The sequence below is a fragment of the Homo sapiens genome, chromosome 15 (assembly GCF_000001405.40).
Source record: "Homo sapiens chromosome 15, GRCh38.p14 Primary Assembly".
In the NCBI taxonomy this organism is placed as follows: Eukaryota; Metazoa; Chordata; class Mammalia; order Primates; family Hominidae; genus Homo; species Homo sapiens.
In genome coordinates this window covers 46,459,302-46,478,507 of record NC_000015.10, presented here as the reverse complement: position 1 = coordinate 46,478,507, position 19,206 = coordinate 46,459,302, and the positions used below count along the sequence as shown (strand labels likewise).

The 19,206-nt window shown below is 35.9% G+C and overlaps 1 annotated feature.

Annotated features, from left to right (window-relative positions):
* Positions 14,273–14,798: an enhancer, noted in NCBI's record as "OCT4-NANOG hESC enhancer chr15:46755908-46756433 (GRCh37/hg19 assembly coordinates)". NCBI's record gives its function as "activates a minimal SCP1, AML or CMV promoter by ChIP-STARR-seq in primed H9 embryonic stem cells {active_cell/tissue: H9 hESC(primed)}" and the evidence as "EXISTENCE:reporter gene assay evidence [ECO:0000049][PMID:30033119]".

Genomic DNA, 19,206 nt, shown 5'->3' with positions numbered 1-19,206 from the left:
TGTGATAATCATTTCACAATGTTTATGTACATCAAAACATCACATTGTAAACCTAAATGAATGCATCCTAATCAAATATATAATTTTTATTTTCAATTATACTCAATATAACTGGGAAAAATTAAATCCCATTTTTTATCAGTGACCAAAAATTTGATATTGAAGTGAAAAAAATGCCACTTAAAAAATATCAAAAATGTAAAATATCTAGGAAGAAATTTGATAGATGATGTGAAAGAACTGACTGATATAAGCTAAAAAACATTTATGAAAGCAACTGAAAATCTAAACAAATTAAGAGACGTGTTCATGGGTTGGAAAACTTAATATTATTAATACATCACTTCTACCATATTGATATATAGAGTCAAAGCAATGAAAATTAAAATTCCAGCAGGTATTTTTTTAAAGTTGACAAGCTAATTCTAAAATGCAAAAGAAATGCAAAGAATTTAGAATTACCAAAACTTTAAAAATAAGAAATTTGTGACACTTTTATTATTTATGATATAGTTAGAGTATCAAGGCAGTTTGATCCTGATATAAAGACAAATAGACCAATATAATAGAATAATAATCCAGGAATAAACCTATGAATATATTATCAAGTAATTTTCCACAAAGACTCACAGGTAATTTAGTAGAGAAAGGATACTTGTTCCAATAAATGATAATGGAAAAATTAGATATCAATATGCACAAAAATTAACTTGGATCCACACCTCACACCATTGTCAAAGAAAACCAAAGCTGGAAACTAAAGGGATAAACAGCTTTTATTCAAGAACTATAGTAGGTCCTCACTTAACTTTATTGATAGGTTCTTGGAAACTGTGATTTTAAATGAAACAACATAGAGCAGCTCCTCAAATGTCATTTTTTTCAAGTTGATGAGAGAAAAATCTGGTTTCATAATATGTCCATAGGTCCTTTTGCTTAAAGGTGCAGTTTCCAAGAACCTATTAACAATGTAAGTGAGGATTTACTATATTGCCATAGAGAAAAAGAGACCTCGATGTAGAACTGAGTTCAATTCTGAATACAACATTGACAAATGGAGCCAAGGAGTCAGGGTGTGGCTCAGTGGATGGAAAATTACTAAGGGAAAATTACTAGGGGATGGTTGGGGATGAGGAATTTAGTCACTTATCAAGGGTGATCAGAAATTGAGAGTGGGGGATTTTCACTAACCTGACTTGGCAGGATTCTTACTAAAACTGGGTGATTTGGATTTCGGCCCAATAGATGTACACCAAGGTCAAGGCCTAGAGATCCTGAATAAAGTTTGGTCAAGAGAGCATCTTTGTTGCCATATAGAAAAATTAACTAAAAATGGATTATATTTCTAAATGTAAAAACTAAAGTTATAAAATGTGCAGTAGTAACACATAAGAAAAAATATTTTTGACCTTGTGATAAACAGTGATTTCTTACATACACCAACAAAAGCACTCTGTAAAAAGTAAAAAAAGATAATAAATTGAACTTCATCAAAATTGTGAACTTCTGCTCTTTGAAAAAAAAATGAAAAGGCTATTCACAGACTTGGAGAAAATATTTGCTGATCACTTATCTGATGGAGGATATATATATATATATATATATATATATAAAACCTTTTTTATATACATATCCTATACATAGTGTATAATACACTACATAATACACTATATAACTTACAGTATATTATACACTATGTAACTTATAGTATATTACATAAATTATATATTTAAAAACTCTTAAAACTCAATAGACTGTACAAATTATAATACAATAAATTGGAAAAAAATATTGTATGTCAGAAAAGAAATATACCCAGCTTCAGATAAGCATATGACAAGATGCTCAGCATAATTTAGCATTTGGGAAATGCTAATTGAGACCATAATATAATACCAGTGCATATTATTAGAATGTCTAAAATTTAAAAGACAAATCATATTAAGTATTGGAGAGAATATGAAGAAACTAGAACTCATAGACACTGTTGGTGGAAATACAAAATGGTATGACTACTTTGGAAGACAATTTGGCAGCTTCTTAAAAAGCTAAACATACATCTACTATATGACCTGATCATTTCACTCCTAGGTGTTTATCCAAGAGAAATAAAAGGATATGACCGCAAATGACCAGTACCCAAATTTCCATAGCAGCTTTATTTGCAATATCCACACACTTAAAACAACTCAAATGTCCATCAGCATGTGAATGGATAAGGAATGTAAGTGGATATCCATAATATAAAATAATATCCTGCAACTAAAAGGCATAAGCTATTGCTGTATGTAATAACTTGGATGTATTTCAGAATAATTATTCTTAGTGAAAGAAGCCAGAGAAAAAATACCTGCTGTATGATTCCACTAATACAAATTCTAGAAATTCAAACTGCCTATAGTGACAGAAAGCAACACAGTGTTTGTCTTAGGATGAATGTGGATATGAAGTGGTGAAAGGGAGGCACCGTAGGGTCACAAGGAAATGATTGGAATGTGTTCATGATCTTGATTTTGGTGATGGTTTCACAGTTGTATGTGTGTGTCAGAACTTATCAGACTGTATACTCTAAACATGTTCAGTTTATTGCACATTAATTATACATCAATAAAATGGCTTAAAAACTATTATGAAGGATTTGCTAGAAGGTTATACTGAGGATGATTGTATCAGACAGAGGCGTCATTTCTAGTTATGTAGCTGTACATTTCAAAAAGGTCCAATAAACTCTTGCTTTGGTGAAGATCTTTTTTTTTTGGCCTGAATTCTGGGGTTTATTTGTGTTAATGGCTGCTGTTTTTGATAATATGTTATCATTTTGTGCTTATTTTATTTGTATATTGTTGACATTATTTTAATTATACTTACATAGTTGTATACTTAAAATATAATTGTACAACTGTGTTATTTCTCCAACTTGTAACATGGTAGATAGAAGTATACTAAATGTCAACATGGCAGTGGGAGAGGCAGGAGATGTGGTGATGATCAGATCTCTTTGTTTGTAATCTCAAAGCCAGAACTTTAACACTATTGAGTGGGCAAGAAAATCCTGTAGGAGGATTACAACTTCATGTTATTGGGGGCTGAAAGTTTCTGTCATACTTCTGTTTTTTTTTTTTTTTAATTATACTTTAAGTCCTGGAGTACATGTTCAGAACGTGCAGGTTTGTTACATAGGTATACACGTGCCATGGTGGTTTGCTGCACCCAACAACCCGTCACCTACATTAGGTATTTCTCCTAATGCTATCCCTCCCCTAGCCCCCCAACCCCAACAAGCCTGGTGTGTGATGCTCCCCTCCCTGTGTCCATGTGTTCTCCTTGTTGAACACCCACTTTTGAGTGAGAACATGCGGTGTTTGGTTTTCTGTTCCTGTGGTAGTTTGCTGAGGATGATTTCTAGTTTCATCCATGTCCCTGCAAAGGACATGAACCCATCCTTTATTATGACTGCATAGTATTTCATGGTGTATATGTGCCACATTTTCTTTATCTAGTCTATCATAGATGGACATTTAGGTTGGTTCCAAGTCTTTGCAATTATGAATAGTGCCACAATAAACATACGTGTGCATGTGTTTTTATAGTAGAATGATTTATAATCCTTTGGGCATATACCCAGTAATGAGATTGCTGGGTCAAATGGTATTTCTAGTTCTAGATCCTTGAGGAATCTCCACACTATCTTCCATAATGGTTGAACTAATTTACACTCCCACCAACAGTGTAAAAGTGTTCCGATTTCTCCACATCCTCTCCAGCATCTGTTGTTTCCTGACTTTTTAATGATCGCCATTCTAACTAGCATGAGATGGTATCTCATTGTGGTTTTGATTTGCATTTCTCTAATTACCAGTGATGATGAGCTTTTTACCACATGTTTGTTGGCTGCATAAATGTCTTCTTTTGAGAAGTGTCTGTTCATATCCTTTGCCCACTTTTCTATGGGGTTGTTTCTTTTTTTCTTGTAAATTTGTTTAAGTTCTTTGTAGATTCTGGATATTAGCCCTTTGTCAGATGGATAGATTGCGAACATTTTCTCCCATTCTGTAGGTTGCCTGTTCACTCTGATGGTAGTTTCTTTTGCTGTGCAGAAGCTCTTTAGTTTAATTAGATCCCATTTGTCAATTTTGGCTTTTGTTGCCATTGCTTTTGGTGTTTTGGACATGAAGTCTTTGCCCATGCCTATGTCTTGAATTATATTCCCCAGGTTTTCTTCTAGGATTTTTATGGTCCTGGGTTTTACGTTTAAGTCTCTGAACCATCTTGAGTTGATTTTTGTATCAAGTATAAGAAAGGGGTCCAGTTTCAGTTTTCTGAATATGGCTAGCCAGTTTTCCCAACACCATTTATTAAATAGGAAATCTTTTCCCCATTGCTTGTTTTTGTCAGGTTTGTCAAAGATCAGATGGTTGTAGATGTGTGGTGGTATTTCTGAGGCCTCTGTTCTGTTCCATTGGTCTATATATCTGTTTTGGTACCAGTACCATGCTGTTTTGGTTACTGTAGCCTTGTAGTATAGTTTGAAGTAAGGTAGCATAATGCCTCCAGCTTTGTTCTTTCTGCTTAGGATTGACTTGGCTATGCGGGCTCTTTTTGGTTCCATATGAAGTTTAAATTAGTTTTTTCCAATTCTGTGAAGAAAGTCCATGGTAGCTTGATGGGGATAGCATTGAATCTCTAAATTACTTTCGGCAATGTGGCCATTTTCACTATTGATTCTTCCTATCCATGGGCATGGAATGTTTTTTGATTTGTTTGTGTCCTCTCTTATTTCCTTGAGCAGTGGTTTCAAGAGGCTTATAGGAACCTAACCCTGTATTTCCTCTAGGAGCAGTGATTCAATGTTTGCTAATTCAGTGTTTGTGACAATTTTATAGAACCAAAGTAATATGAATAATGAGAATCAACTGTATGCATATATACAAAGATTTATAATTGACTTTACATACACACACGTATGACACATATTCATATACATGTATAAATGTACATATATTGTGTGTGTGTGTGTGTCCAACCACACACACATGTATATATAATAACTGACACCACAAAAAGTGACTTTGTTTTTTTTAATCCCTGAATCAGTTTACATGCTGTAAATTGCATGGATAAGTTTATGAGAGACAAAGAAACACTCTTTGACATTGGTATTTTCCCAGGAAATCTAGCCCTCACGAACACTGCTTAATGATACCAATTCCAACTGAAGGAGCAGTGAGGTGTTATTAAAACAAAGAATTGAGGATGGAGAATTCTGCCTGCTTGGCTCAGCATCAGCATTCTGGCCAAAGAATGTTTATCAGTGCCTGAGTGAAGGGGTTAGAAAAATAAAAGGAATGACTGCCAAGGAAAAAAATAATAATTAAAACCTCTTAGTACAATTATACCCCCCATTCCCCAAATCAGAATATTTTTACATCTTTCTCATTATTTTTGGTATGTATTGGTGCCCTTCCTTATGGCCCTCAGCTTTTCATATTTCAGATTAATTTAACTGAATTCCCTGAGGTAAAAAGCAAAATTCTAAGAAGATTTCACAAATAAAGTTGTTTTCCTGAGTCAAATGAAAACAGGACATAGAAAGAACTAAAGATGAGATACAGTAAGAAGTATATAGCTTAGACTTTGGGCAAATAAACTAGAAAATAAAAGAGATATTGCAAGCCGAAGTTACATGGTTTTCCTTCCATTCAGAGGAGGATCCTGGCCAAATTTGGATTTTTATTGAAATTGTCTTTTAGATTTTCTATGCTATCTTCCCTAGATAACTACTGCTTTGTGAAGTGATGTGTGAGTGAGGACTCAAAATGTTTAGCCTTAGAATTATGCAGTTCAGTGTGGAAGTCACATGTATATTCTTCAGGCTGATCGCTAATCTTTGTCCAATTCCCATGTAAAAATGTAGTCCCACACCAAGGCCATACTCTGGACTTTAGGAGAGTTGTTAAATGTAAACAATAACTGCCAAAAGAGTGCTGTAAATCTATTCCTTACCTCTTTAGAGAATGAGGACAGCCATCTATCTTTTTTAAATTATATATTCAGGAATTTGATTTTAATTTCAACTACCAAGAGCACTTGCAAAATTGCAGTCCTGCAGTACAACCATTCTCAGCTACATTAAGTGGCAAGAACAAAAGTGCACTCAGTGTGCATAGATACTCCTAGTCCCATGACAAGCTCTGCATACTAACAGGGTTGTCCCTGCCTCTGCAGACATAAGAGGACTCATGACAAATGATGTGCACCAAGAGACTGACAGCTCATCTTCTCCCATGCTTGCCGGCTGCACTACACTGAAGAGCTGGCTAGCAAGCTGGTAACACACACGATGCCTCCTCTCCCCATAACATGTTCCCCATCATTCCTCTGATTCCTTCTTTTGTAGCAATTGACCTTGTCCAATATTCAAAGCTCTTTTAAAGTTAATGATGTTGGACTCTGGAAATAGTCTTCAAACATATGAAAGATTATTACAAAGAGAATGATGGCCAGTTGCTTCCCATCTCACTGGAGGATAGAGCTTGGGCTGCTGCCATTCACTGCAGAAGGACTGAATAAATGTTTCTTTATCATGAAGATGATGATGGTTATGATGATAAAACCACAAAAGGCATAAAGAAAACCTGGACTGCAATTGGAGGAACCTCATTTTGATGAAATAAATGTCCTGACATCGAAAATTCTGAATCTAGTTGCTGATTCAAATTTACTCTGAATTCATTCAACAAGACTTTGCAAGGCATCAACTGGTGAGACCCAAGGAGCACTGTGATAGAATGCAAGGAGTACCTAAAATTATGTATCAAAAATCTGTCTTTGCCAAATTGATTTACAACTTATTTTAAGAAACGGACTTTTACACGTGAAATCGTTAAGCCATGTTTAAAAATAACGTGTAATTACTGCACAAACTATATATGAGTTGAGGCAGTTTGAACAATTAACAGAGACTTCATTAATGAGGTGAAGCTTTAACTAGGCCTTGTACATAGAATTAGGTAGTAACTTAAAAATATGTATTCATTTGATAAATATTTATTGTATATCTATGATGTTCTGACACTACAAGAAACAGAATGAATAATATAGTCAAAAGGTGTGTTTGAGATAATAAAATACTCTTTCATTACACAATTAAGGAAATGCTGTCTGACCCTTATCCTCTCTGGGTAGGCACTTGTAGCAAATTGTGATAGAACCGGAAACAGTATCAGTTTCTACATCAGCTCAGTACTTCTCTATGAAAACCATATCATTTGCCTTGCCTTTGTTTTTCATCCACCATAACTATCAACCTGAAGACAAAACAAAACAGGAAATATTTTCATTCTTAAGAGATTAATTCCTATTCAGCAGACTTTTAAAAACTTGTTTTCTTGAAAAAAGAATACTATGTTGTGCATTTCCTATGTATGGTTAAGAACTTTTTATGTTTTTTAAGTGTATTATCTTGGCAAAATGTGTACAACGAATCTTTAGTGTGCTTGCCTGGTTTGTTTATTAGTTACAATTGTTAAATTCCAAGTTATTTTATACTAACTTTACTGACCTCAGGAACTCTTAGGTTATACTTTGTAATAAGTTGTATTTTTTTCTTTCTGCTCAATAGTGAAAGCAAAGAAAAGAAGCTAAGTATGAGGTATTTTATTGAGAGCTAGCATACATAGGGGTTAAGAGCTTAATCTCTTGAAGTCAGACTGATTTGTCGTCAAATTCCAGTCATAGGACTTTCACAACTGTGGGCAAGTTAATCTAGGTGGGCCTCAAATCTCTGTTCTGTTAAATAGAAAAAGAGTGTACCTAATTCATGGGATAGTTACAAAGATTAAAGTAGCTAATGCATGCAAAATAATTAACAATGTCTAGCCTAAAGTATATTCTCAGTAAATGCTAGTTATTAAGAGCCTTGAAAATGGAGATAACTTATGTCCATGTTTGGCTGCTAAATTGGTGTTGGGATTATCGGCCAGGTAATTACAGTCAGGCTTATGACAAAGGCCATCAGTTGTGCATGAAGTTATATATGCATCTAATTGAGCACGCATCTGTCAGGAAAGAAAGATGAGTAGGAGACTATCAAGAACTGCTCTAACTTGAACATCTGTTAATTACATATAAAGCAATTGAGACTTTCGCTAGATTTTTTTCTCTAATCCTGAAACTAATTAATGCTCATAATAAAAATCTTAGAAAACACAAAAATATAAAGAAGTCAACAAAAATCAACCATAATAACAGTATTCAAAATCAACAAGTGTGATGAATTAACATTGATATTTTCCTGTGCATACATATATAATTTTTGTGCATATAATTTATAAAATTTATATTTTAAACAAACATTAAGGAATTCAGCTGCAGAAACACATTTTATATTCTGCTTTTTTATATATTATATACTTAGATATTAAATAGTACTCAAAAGTACAATTGATTACATAATACCCCATTGAATGATTTTGATATTAACATTTTTATACATCATTTCTCATGATTTTCTATAAAGAATGCTAAAATAAATATTCTTGAAAATAAATTATATGCATACAGGTAAACCTCTCTCCAGAAAATGTATGCCAATTCTCTCATTACTGAATAAGCAAGTGTTTTTTCCCTAACTCACTGTCCTCCACACCACAGCTCATCTTCATTCATCATAGCTGTAATAATAATTATTGACAACCACTAGGGACTTACCCTGTGGCAGGCCCTATTCTAACTGCTCTATAGGCATTATATTTTTAAATCTTCTCAACAACACTGTAAGGCATATTCTAATCATTCCTGTTTTACAGGTTAAGAAGCTATGGCTTAACCAGATTAAGTCCAAGATTCCACAATTAGAAATAAAGTTGGGATGTAAGTCCCCAGGCAGTGTGACTTCCATAGACTGTGATTTTCACCAAAACACAGTATTATTTTTCCATAGCATTCATCAATATTATCCACTAAAATGTTTCTATTAATGTGAAAGACAAAAAAAATATTGTTTTTACTTTACGTAATTTTATTAATAAGGCCAATATTTTTTCATAATTTTATTTTTTAATTTGTTTATATTTTGGATATTTCATGTGAATTTTTTATTTATGTTCCTTGGTGTCTTCATCATTTAATTATGAGGAGTACTTTCCTCTGAAGGCTAGATTCTAAAATTACATATTGAATGACTCTCTTTGAGGTAATAATAAATATGGATTTTCAAGATGGTGACACATTCAGTTGCATTAATTAGGAAAAAATTTTGCTAATTGCATTCTCTGGTGAGCATTGGACTTCCTGTCTGCCAATGTGTATTCCATTTTATAGGTCTTTTTAGATGTTCTCTTTGGTTTGTAATTGATGGATTTCTTGGAAGCAAAAAGCCACTGGAGATTTAGTGAGTGTGAAGTGGTGAATATTGAAAGCATTTTAAATATTGATATGAAAATAAATCTCCTAGCAGGATATCTTTTTGTTCTGCTGTTTCTGGAATGAATATATTAGTTTAAAAATTGTGAGCATTTAACAGATGTGAAAGTGCTAGTCTTTGGGCTGTTAACAGACTGTACTCTGCCAGATTTGTTGGTAGCCTTTCCATATTCTGAAAATATTAGAGATATTTATAACCATAGTGATATTTCCAAATGCTTTAAATAATTATGTGAGTATACTCACATAATTATTTTCAACTGCAGCAATACTCCCAAAATAGAAGAAATTACTACTCTTAACGGGGTATGTGGAATAACAGTTTTATTTGAGAGCAACAATGAAGAGCATGGCCATGAAATTTGGATGCAATAAACAAAAGAAAAGAAGTCATGCCCTAAGTATCTTGGGGCAGCAACTTGTGAGAAGGCAAATCAATGGCAGGTAGAGGCTATTTAGCAAAGCTTGCTAATATAGATTCCTCTGGTACCATCACTAGGATGATAAGGGCCTAAAGTTGTCTTCAGTGGTTAACCTTTATTCTTCTTGGTAGGGATTGAGGTGAAGGGACAGGATACCTTTTTTATTTTTAAATCTATGTCCTGCTTTCAGAAAAATAGAAGGAGAATGGGGACCTTTTTTGTACTTGCTTCTTAATTGCCTTTGCCTCAACAATCCTTCATATTTTAGAGTAAATATTTAAAAAGGAACAATTATTCATATGTTACGGTTTTTCACTCCATAAATTTCCTGATACTCTAGTGGGCTGGTACTTCTGCATGGGGAAAAAATTCAAATTTTGGGGGGAACTAAAAATCAAATTTTGAGAGAAGAATAATAAAACAAGAATGGCAGAAACTCAGATCTGAGACCTAAGCAAAAAATTATTTCATAGAACTCTACTCAGTAACTTATTATACAGAATTTCCATATACACAGGCAGCGGTATGCTGCTCAATTTTTAAAAAGAAACTTTGTGGAGAAGAAAATAAAATTACTTATACTGTTTGCTGATTTCCATGGTATAAACTGTCACATCATGGCAGATCTCAAGCTATCATCGTGATGTCACTGAACTGAAGTTAGGAAGACATATAAGCATTTGTCTCTCACAAAGTTGGTAGAAACTTGCTTTAGCACACCACTGAGCAGAGACCACCATGAAATAGAGACTGAGCACAGAGAAGCCCCAGTTAGAAAAGTGCACCAGTTCTTCCCATCAACCATTTACTGTGGATAGTTCCTTCAGGAGGAAAACATCTATATCTAGTATTCACTTTATCCCGTTGTAGCCACTTATCCTGCAAATTAGAGAAAACAGCAACACAAGTGACATGAGTTCTTGGACCCAGAGCAGCTGTACAACCAAAGTCTGGTTCAATCCTTGACAGGGCAACGTACAGTTTACTGCTAGCTGCCTCTTTGTAATGAATCAGCAAAAGCAGTTCTCGAAAACCTAGCATCTTTCATGTTGCAAACCCACACACCAGAAAGAGATGTAAAACCAACATCCATGGGTATTATACCGGATATCTTCCATGTATATCTCCAGAGTCACTCTACCTCTCTTCTTTCCCTATGATTCAGACCTGTGTGAACTCCACCAACAGGCTCCGTTGCTCTCTGGCTTACCATTGGGTTGGGCCAATGGTGAAGGTGACAAGATTTCTTAGGGAGAAGAGTGACATCGTAATATTCCCCTGACTCCCTCCCAGGGGTTCCCTTAGGCTAATTACATCTTTCTTCCAAAGGTCACAAGTCCTATCAAGTACACTTCTGTACATAGCTGCTGTGTCCCCAGATTCTGATAATGGCTCCTTGTTCTCCCTTCTTCAGGCTAAAAACTAGTAAGAGATCCTCATTGTTATTTGTACTAATCCTTTTGGTTTTTATTCAGCATGCCCTAAACCTTGATCAGAATACCCATAGTTCACTCAATAGTTTTTGAATACACTATTTTTTTGTTTTGGCCAGGACTCTAGCTGATGCTGATAGGAAGTGTGGAATTATGATGCAAGTAGTAAGCAATTGTATGTATACTAGGCACAGCAACCTAAAAGAGAAAGTCCTTCTTATAGACCTGTTGATCCCATATATATCTTTATAGTTATCTGAATTTAATCTACTCCCAGGGGTGACCTGGCAAATGGTCCACAATCAGCTCTTAAGGAGAAAAAAAAAAAAAAAAAAAAAAAAAAGCCCTGATTTGTAACAGTTCCCACATGCAGCGGTGTAATATTCCTACTATGGTGAGTTTCAATTTACCAAAATAACTTTCTGAAGGAGAGATGGGAACAGATATGTAATGCTGTTTCTCACAACCTGACAAGAGCAAACTGCCAACTCCAGCTCTTTGGGGCCTATTCCCATCTGTGGTCTTATCTTTTTTGGTTCTGCAATACAATACCATATAGTACAATACAATACAATACAATTCTGGTTTGGGCTTTCCTGTTTTATCTTACTTCCTGTTTTTTTTTTTTTTTCTCCAAGTATGGACCAGGTTATATGAGGAAAAACAAATCAAGGCTTCATCTACCATAACTCCTCATGTATCTGATATGCTAACTCCTGCCTTCCTGTCTTCTAACTCCTCATGTATCTGATATGCTAAGTCCTGCCTTCGTTTCTTCTTCTAACTCCCCATTGCCTCTGACTATACTCTTTTGATCACTGGGATATCTGAGATATTGTCTCCCCCATGAGCACCAGAGACAAACACTTTATAAATCCCAACCAATGAAAAGATAACAACCATAAAACTTGGCATCTGATTTTGCACTTGATAGAGGGTACAATGGGTGGCTATTATATACTCAGGCTAATGCAATAGAGAAATTTTAGCTTCAGCCCGTTAATAGTTCCTTTATGAAGCAAGTCTCAGAGAAGAAAAGCAGAGCCCAAAGCATCTTCTCTCCCCTTTGCCTGAACAAGAGCTTGGCACCCTCCTGAAGGGACAGAAATAGAAATGTATAAGCTGTGGTTCATTTCCCAAAGGTCATGGGACCGTAGAGACTGGCTTTTAAAGTCTAGTTTGAGACACCTCCCTCCCCTTACCCCACACAATATAATTTACAGACCTGCAGGCTGCAATAAAGGTTAGAATCTCTGAGGGATTGTGGAGGCAGGGTCACAAAGTACCCAGGGAATATTCACTGTACCTTTATGAATAAGAAAATAATAGGTTGTTAATTCACAATGGAAATAATAATCCTGAATATTACAGGGAAATAATGTGTATTGTCCTCCAAATTCTTTCACAATAGTCAGAAAACTGAACCCATCCTAGAAAAATTTGTTATTTATTTTATAGGTAATTCTTTTCTCCAGTTGCATCAGTTCTGAAAATCATAGTTAAAAATTGTATTGGCAAATACGCCGACCCTCATCATCATTGTGATTCTTCTAGTGGTTCCCTGTGATCCAAATGATCAAGACATGATAAAGACAAGCCATTGTTTTTGGGGGGTGGGGTGGGGGAAAGACCCAGTCTAAAATAAATGTAGTCCAAAATACTAAACACTGAGAAGAAGAATACACCTTGACTCTTAGTCTTCAAAAAGTAGAGATATAATGAAATAGATTGTAGCCTAATGAGATATTAGGACACAGTTTGATTCACATGGAAATGGAACAGGCATGAAATACAGAGAAGGAAAGAGGAAAATCTTTTTTTTTTTTTTTGAGATGGAGACTTGCCCTGTCGCCAAGGTGGAGTGCAGTGGAGCCATCTCAGCTCACGGCAACCTCCACCTCCTGGGTTCAAGCGATTCTCCTGCCTCAGCTTCCCGAGTAGCTGGGACTACAGGTGTGTGCCACCACACCCAGCTAATTTTTGTATTTTTAGTAGAGATGGGATTTCATCATGTTGGCCAGGATGGTTTCAATCTCTTGACCTCAAGTGATCCACCCACCTCAGCTTCCCAAAGTGTAGAAAATCTTAATGGAAGAAAGGACACCTGAACTGGGCTTTCAAGGAAGAGAAGACCTCTCAATCAGTAAAAGAAGAAAGAAAACTCCAGATGGATGGAAAAGCATTTATACAGGAGAGGATCTGTGAAATATCAAGATGTATGTGGTGAGTTATCAGTAGTTTGGTATTGTGAACATGTAAACTCAAAGCTGAGTCTAGAAAGGAAGGAACCAGAAGGATTTATATCCTGTAGGTCAGTTTATTTTAAATGGAGTTTATAATCTCTAATAGGGGATACAAGGATCAGTTGAGTGTTTAAACTTCAAGTCATGTTTTCTAAATATCTATTCACAAGGAAGTCATAGGTCAGCTGTCACTTGAAGTATTTAACCCTGAATGAAGAGACAATGCTCCTGAACATAAAGAGAGGGCAAGAGGAATTGAAGCCTCAGTCATTCTTTTATCTTAAGTGATTATGTAACTTACATGTACCTAGTTACGTAGATTTACTACATAAATATCTGATAGTAGTGAAATACTTAAAAAATGAAGTGATTAGAAAGAAGATTCCTGCAGAGAAACTAGGTTGAAGATAATACTAATCATGCATGTACTTGTATGAAACAGTAAAAGGAGAGAACTGACACATTTTCTATTTCTAAAAAAACTGTCAGCCATATATCAAATTGAAAAAGCATATTCTAATCAGCTTGCACAAAATAGGGCCTAGAAACAAAAATTATCAATAAAAGTGTCACTGGTAGAGGTTCATGACTGCAAGCTGTCCAGGTTCTTGGCATTTGGAACAAAGAATTGGACAAAACGCCCAGCAAAGCAAAGAAAGAATGAAGCAACACAGGAACGAAAGCAGGGATTTATTGAAAATGAAAGTACACTCCACAGTGTGGAGTGGACCCCAGCAGCAGCTCAAGAGCCCAGATACAGAATCTTCTTGGGTCCAAATATCCCCAAGAAGTTTTCCATTGGCCACTTCATGCTCACCTCATGTAAATGAAGTGGTAGCCGGCAATCAGTCTGATTGGTTGCAGAAAGCAGCCAACCAGAGGCTGAAGTGAAGTTACAAATTTATACTTATATGCAAATGAAGACTCTGTGGTCAATCAGTCTGATTGGTTGTGGACAACAACCATTCAGAGGCTGGAGTAAAGTTACAAAGTTGCAAACGAAGACTCCACCCGCACTCAGTATGATTTTTTGCGGACAGCCAATTTCCCATCTGCAACGCAGAAAAGGTCAAATGGACTTGAAAGCCCCTGATCTTTTTGTTACTTAGGAATGCAGAGTTAGGTTTTTCCTTTCAATTTAGTTCTAGGAAGTCAGCATGAAACAGCCTTAGGTTCCCTGCCTCCGGACCCTATTCTCCTCCCTCAAAAGGATTTGAAACATGGATTTACATTATTATACGTGAAGAGCCTCGTCCCAACTGCCTGTTTTCCCTCACTGGATTAGCTCATGGATACTATGAAAACATCCTGATAGGCACCAAAACATTTACTAACTACGCACCTGGATCATGGGACACATTATACTTGTTTTCTTGGTAACAGAAGTCATTTATACTCAAGCCAGTATTTACAAAGTTTTACTAACATTTCATAAGGAATAAGGCCTGTAGGTTGTACTGATGCCAATTTCCCAGTTTTGATATTTTACGTTATACTAGAGTTATGTTAGATGTTACCTCTGAGGGAAGCTGGGTGAAAGGTACCTGGAACGTCTTTAGACTATTTTTGTAAATGCCTGTGAGTCTATAATTATTTCAATACTAATTTTCTAATGGTTGATATATATGTGTATATATATAAAAATATGAATATATAGGTGTGTATATATAATATGTATGATTTATATATGTGTATGTATAATGTGATTTATATATGTGTATATATGTAATATTTGTGATTTATGTATATATGAAAGCTGACTTTAAGTTTTCTTACTTAATGGCAAAAAAAAACAAAAAACAAAACAAGAAGCCATATACCATTGGAGTAAATAGCTGTTTTTCTCTTTATAGTAAAAATGACTGAAATAAAACATGAAAAGCAATATGGAAATAAACTCAAATGTGTTGCTCTATCAGCAAAGATGTTGAGAAGACACAGACAAAATACTGCTGAAGGTTTGAAGGAAAAAAATGCAATAAATTATGCAGTGAGTAAGGTTTCCTATAGAGTTGCAAAAAAATGCAGATGTTTCTAACAAGTCTCCGATTTGGCATTTGTTGCATTCTATTTCGATAATTAAATACATGAAAAAATTTAGATACAAAAGAAACTCAAACTAGGGCATATAAATTCTCAACAAGAGATTTTTTATTTAATAGTAATAATAATAGTACACAATAGGAAAATCTGTTATAAGTAACCACCAATATAGTCATTGTTTTGAATGGAATTCTTAAAAATTCCAAGATTATTTATAAAATTAAAGAAGACATTTAAATATAGTAGAATCTTGTAATTCTTCTAATGTATGGGAATGTCCTTATACTGGCCTGTCCTGATGTCAAAATGACAATTGTCCTGCACAGCTATATAGTCACCACAGGACATATAATACTTATATGTAGGTCAAACTCAAGAACCTGAGCTATAGCACAGAGTATTCATAACATGACAGTCGATTGGATTTTAGCAAAACAGATTTTTCCATCACATTAAATTAATGTTGTTAATTTGACTTTTATTGATTTTATAGCTTTTCTTTGTATTTAATATATAAATTTTTTTGGTCGTATTTTTGTATAACAGTTATAAACAGATGAAGATTATACCTAGCTTTATGCTCATACATACTTAAGTAGCAAAAATCATTACAGTTAATTTTCAAGATCTGGAAGTATTTTGTTTTACTCTTTAAAAGGAAACACATATTACTCAAGTTTGAGAAACACAACTCAAGTCCTTATGAATGCTCCTAAGCCCCAGGTTAGGTTTTGTTGGAATCAAGCAACAGGTAGCAACTTGAGTGGAAGGCAAGAGACAGGTAGGGGTTAGGGAGGGAAGGAAACACAGAGCCCCTTCAAAAGCAGAAGCAGCACTAAAAAGGTAGAATGATACCAATGGGAAATTTTACCAACTACACTCCTTTGTCGTGATCCAGTGCTAAAGACAGGGTAAGTATAGCTGAGACCCACAACGGCACCAGTCACACAGATACTTGAGCAGTATACAAAGACAGACAAAACAATGACCTCTTCTATGACATTGGGTGCAGTTCCATTATAGGCCCACCTTGTGTGAAAACTCAGTGGCCTGTATTAAGCCTTCCAAACTGAGAAGTAAGACAGTCTCATCTTGAGGCAAGTAAAATGGATGCCTCTTAGAACCCAAGACTCCAGTGCTTAAAACACCAACTGTGCAAGAGTTGCAGTACAATGGCACCTCCCTGTATCTGTGGTTTCAGTTACACATGGGCAACCCTGATCTGAAAATATCAAATGGAAAATTCTAGAAATAAACAATTCATAAGCTTCACATTTCACACTGTACTGAGTAGTGTGATGAAATCTCCCGCTGCCCCACTCTGTCCCTCCAGGGATGTGAATCCTCCCATTGTCTAGTGGATCCACACGGCATTTGCTTCCTTCCTGCCTGTTAGTCATTTAGTAACCATCTTGGCTATCAGATTTTTTTTTAAAAAGCCATGGTATCTCTAGAGTTTGATACTATGTGTGGCTTTAGGCCTCTATTGGGGGTATGGAAACATATCCCTCATGGATAAGGGAGGACTACTGTTGTGACTTTAATACATTTCTAAGTGAAAATCATAATTATTTCAGGATGGTAAATACAGTGAAGCTTTTTTATTACAGGCTGAGATGAGGTCAGGATTAGGATGTCTCAAACAGAAATTTCTTCCCTCGTGTTCTCTCCAAAAAAGAAGGGTGTGCAAATATTATTACAAGGGAGATACTTATACACATAAAGAGTGTAATAACCACTACAAAATGCCTGAGAAATATTGAAGTTTTTATGATTTCTAAAGCAAGACTCTTATCCAATTGGCCGAGAGACAGTAGAATTTCCTCTCATTTGTCAGAGCTTCAACATAAGTCTTTGTCTCCTTTGTGCTCTTCTGATGTGGTCCTTTTCATTATCATGCTTGATGTGCTCCCAGTCTCTTTCCCAGTGCAGCATTCAGCAATCTTCCAAATGCCATTCCCGGGTTCTGTTCTGCCTTTCAATGACTGACACCTGGGTGGCAGATGGCACAAATAGCCCACTATATATTTCCTGGATTGATGAAGAAATCTGTCAGGAACCTGACTGCATTGGCCTGGTGCCTCGTGACAAAAATGTCTGCTCGGGGGAGTGACAGTGACTGGAAATAAGTTTGATGAAAATGATCTGGAGCTCGTTGAGTTTCAAATGTTGCTTTTATTCCTTCCCTTCCTTACATTTACACATCCTTGGATTTTTGCCTTGAAAACACATTATAAATAAATTGGACACCACAGTGTCTTAAAGCTCGGACATAATCCACTTTTTCCGGGCACGCATTTTGCCTGGGACAGATGCACTTCTTAATTCGCCATGTCCTTCTGCGTACCAGGCTTGTCTGACCATATGTGGACATGGATTTTCACATCTCTATCATGAGCTCGATTGCTCTAGAGTGGCGAGGAAAACTGATCTGGCAGGCTGGATACCGAGAATGATCACAAAGTCAAAGTCCTAGCCTCATATTTAAAATAAATACAGAGTTTTAAAAAATAGTTTAATTTAAAATATCCAAATGTTACTAAAGAAGAACCAATTCATTGGCTCATTAGATCAGAAAAATCTACCTGTGAGACCTGTCAAGGAAATCCTCTGTGCTCGTTTTCTTAGTCAATAAACACATAACATTTGCTGCCAGATGCCAGGTATATGATAGAGCCTGAGTATTGCCTTCTCCTGGAGATTCGTATGCCCTTCCCTTTACCCACCTCCCTCCCAGCACTCTGAGGATGTCTCAAGTTCTCTCTGGTTCTGAAACAGATATTAGTATACCTGTGTCATGATGCCTTTCTTCTATGAAGGACTAGCATTACCCCACGGAGGCTGAGATTATCTGCATCATGAAGCTATTGGAGTTTAAGTTTCCCAGGGGTGCCTGCATGGGCCTCTTCCTAAGATCTGGAAGGGGCCTTAGCAATGTGTACCTGTTTTAAAAATGGAAGGTATTTCTGTATTACATTTCTTAAAAAGGGATTGCCAAGTTGTATGAGTTTTTAGCCCCACAAAAGCTGGATATAGCCTCATGTAGCAGAGAATGGTCATGAAAGAGTAAAACACCCACACTTTCCCCCAAGCTGCTTGTAACTAGAATATTGGAAATAACAGGAAGAAGAGCCCACTTTAGTGTACGGGAGAATGTCTTCCTTTCAGACGAGTTAATGCCTATAGTGCCTTACTAGGAAGATGGTAAATCCCACAAAGCTGAAAAAATAAGCATTTCTAGGTAGACAGTATTTACTGGGGGCATTCCAGATTGAAGGAAACATGAAATGGTTCATATTTCCTAAAATCCCTGTCAGCTGTTGTTACACGCAATAGCATTTGGGAACAGAATAAAAAATGCAGGTGAGTTCTGAATAGCTGGGGAAGAAGGGGCTGAAATTAAAGTCTGACTTTTGAACAATAACAATTGTCAAAAGAGAGCTTGAGAACTTCTATGATTAGTCTGACGGTATCAGCACCTAGATGTTCCCTGATCAGCAAGATCCTGTGTGGGCCTTAGAGAGATCATTTGTCCCTCCAGAATAAGGTTTTCCACAATGTCCTATGAGGACACATTATGTAGCACTTAAAAGCACTGGTTTAGTATTCGACTGAAGTTCAGATCTTGGATCTTCCACTTAG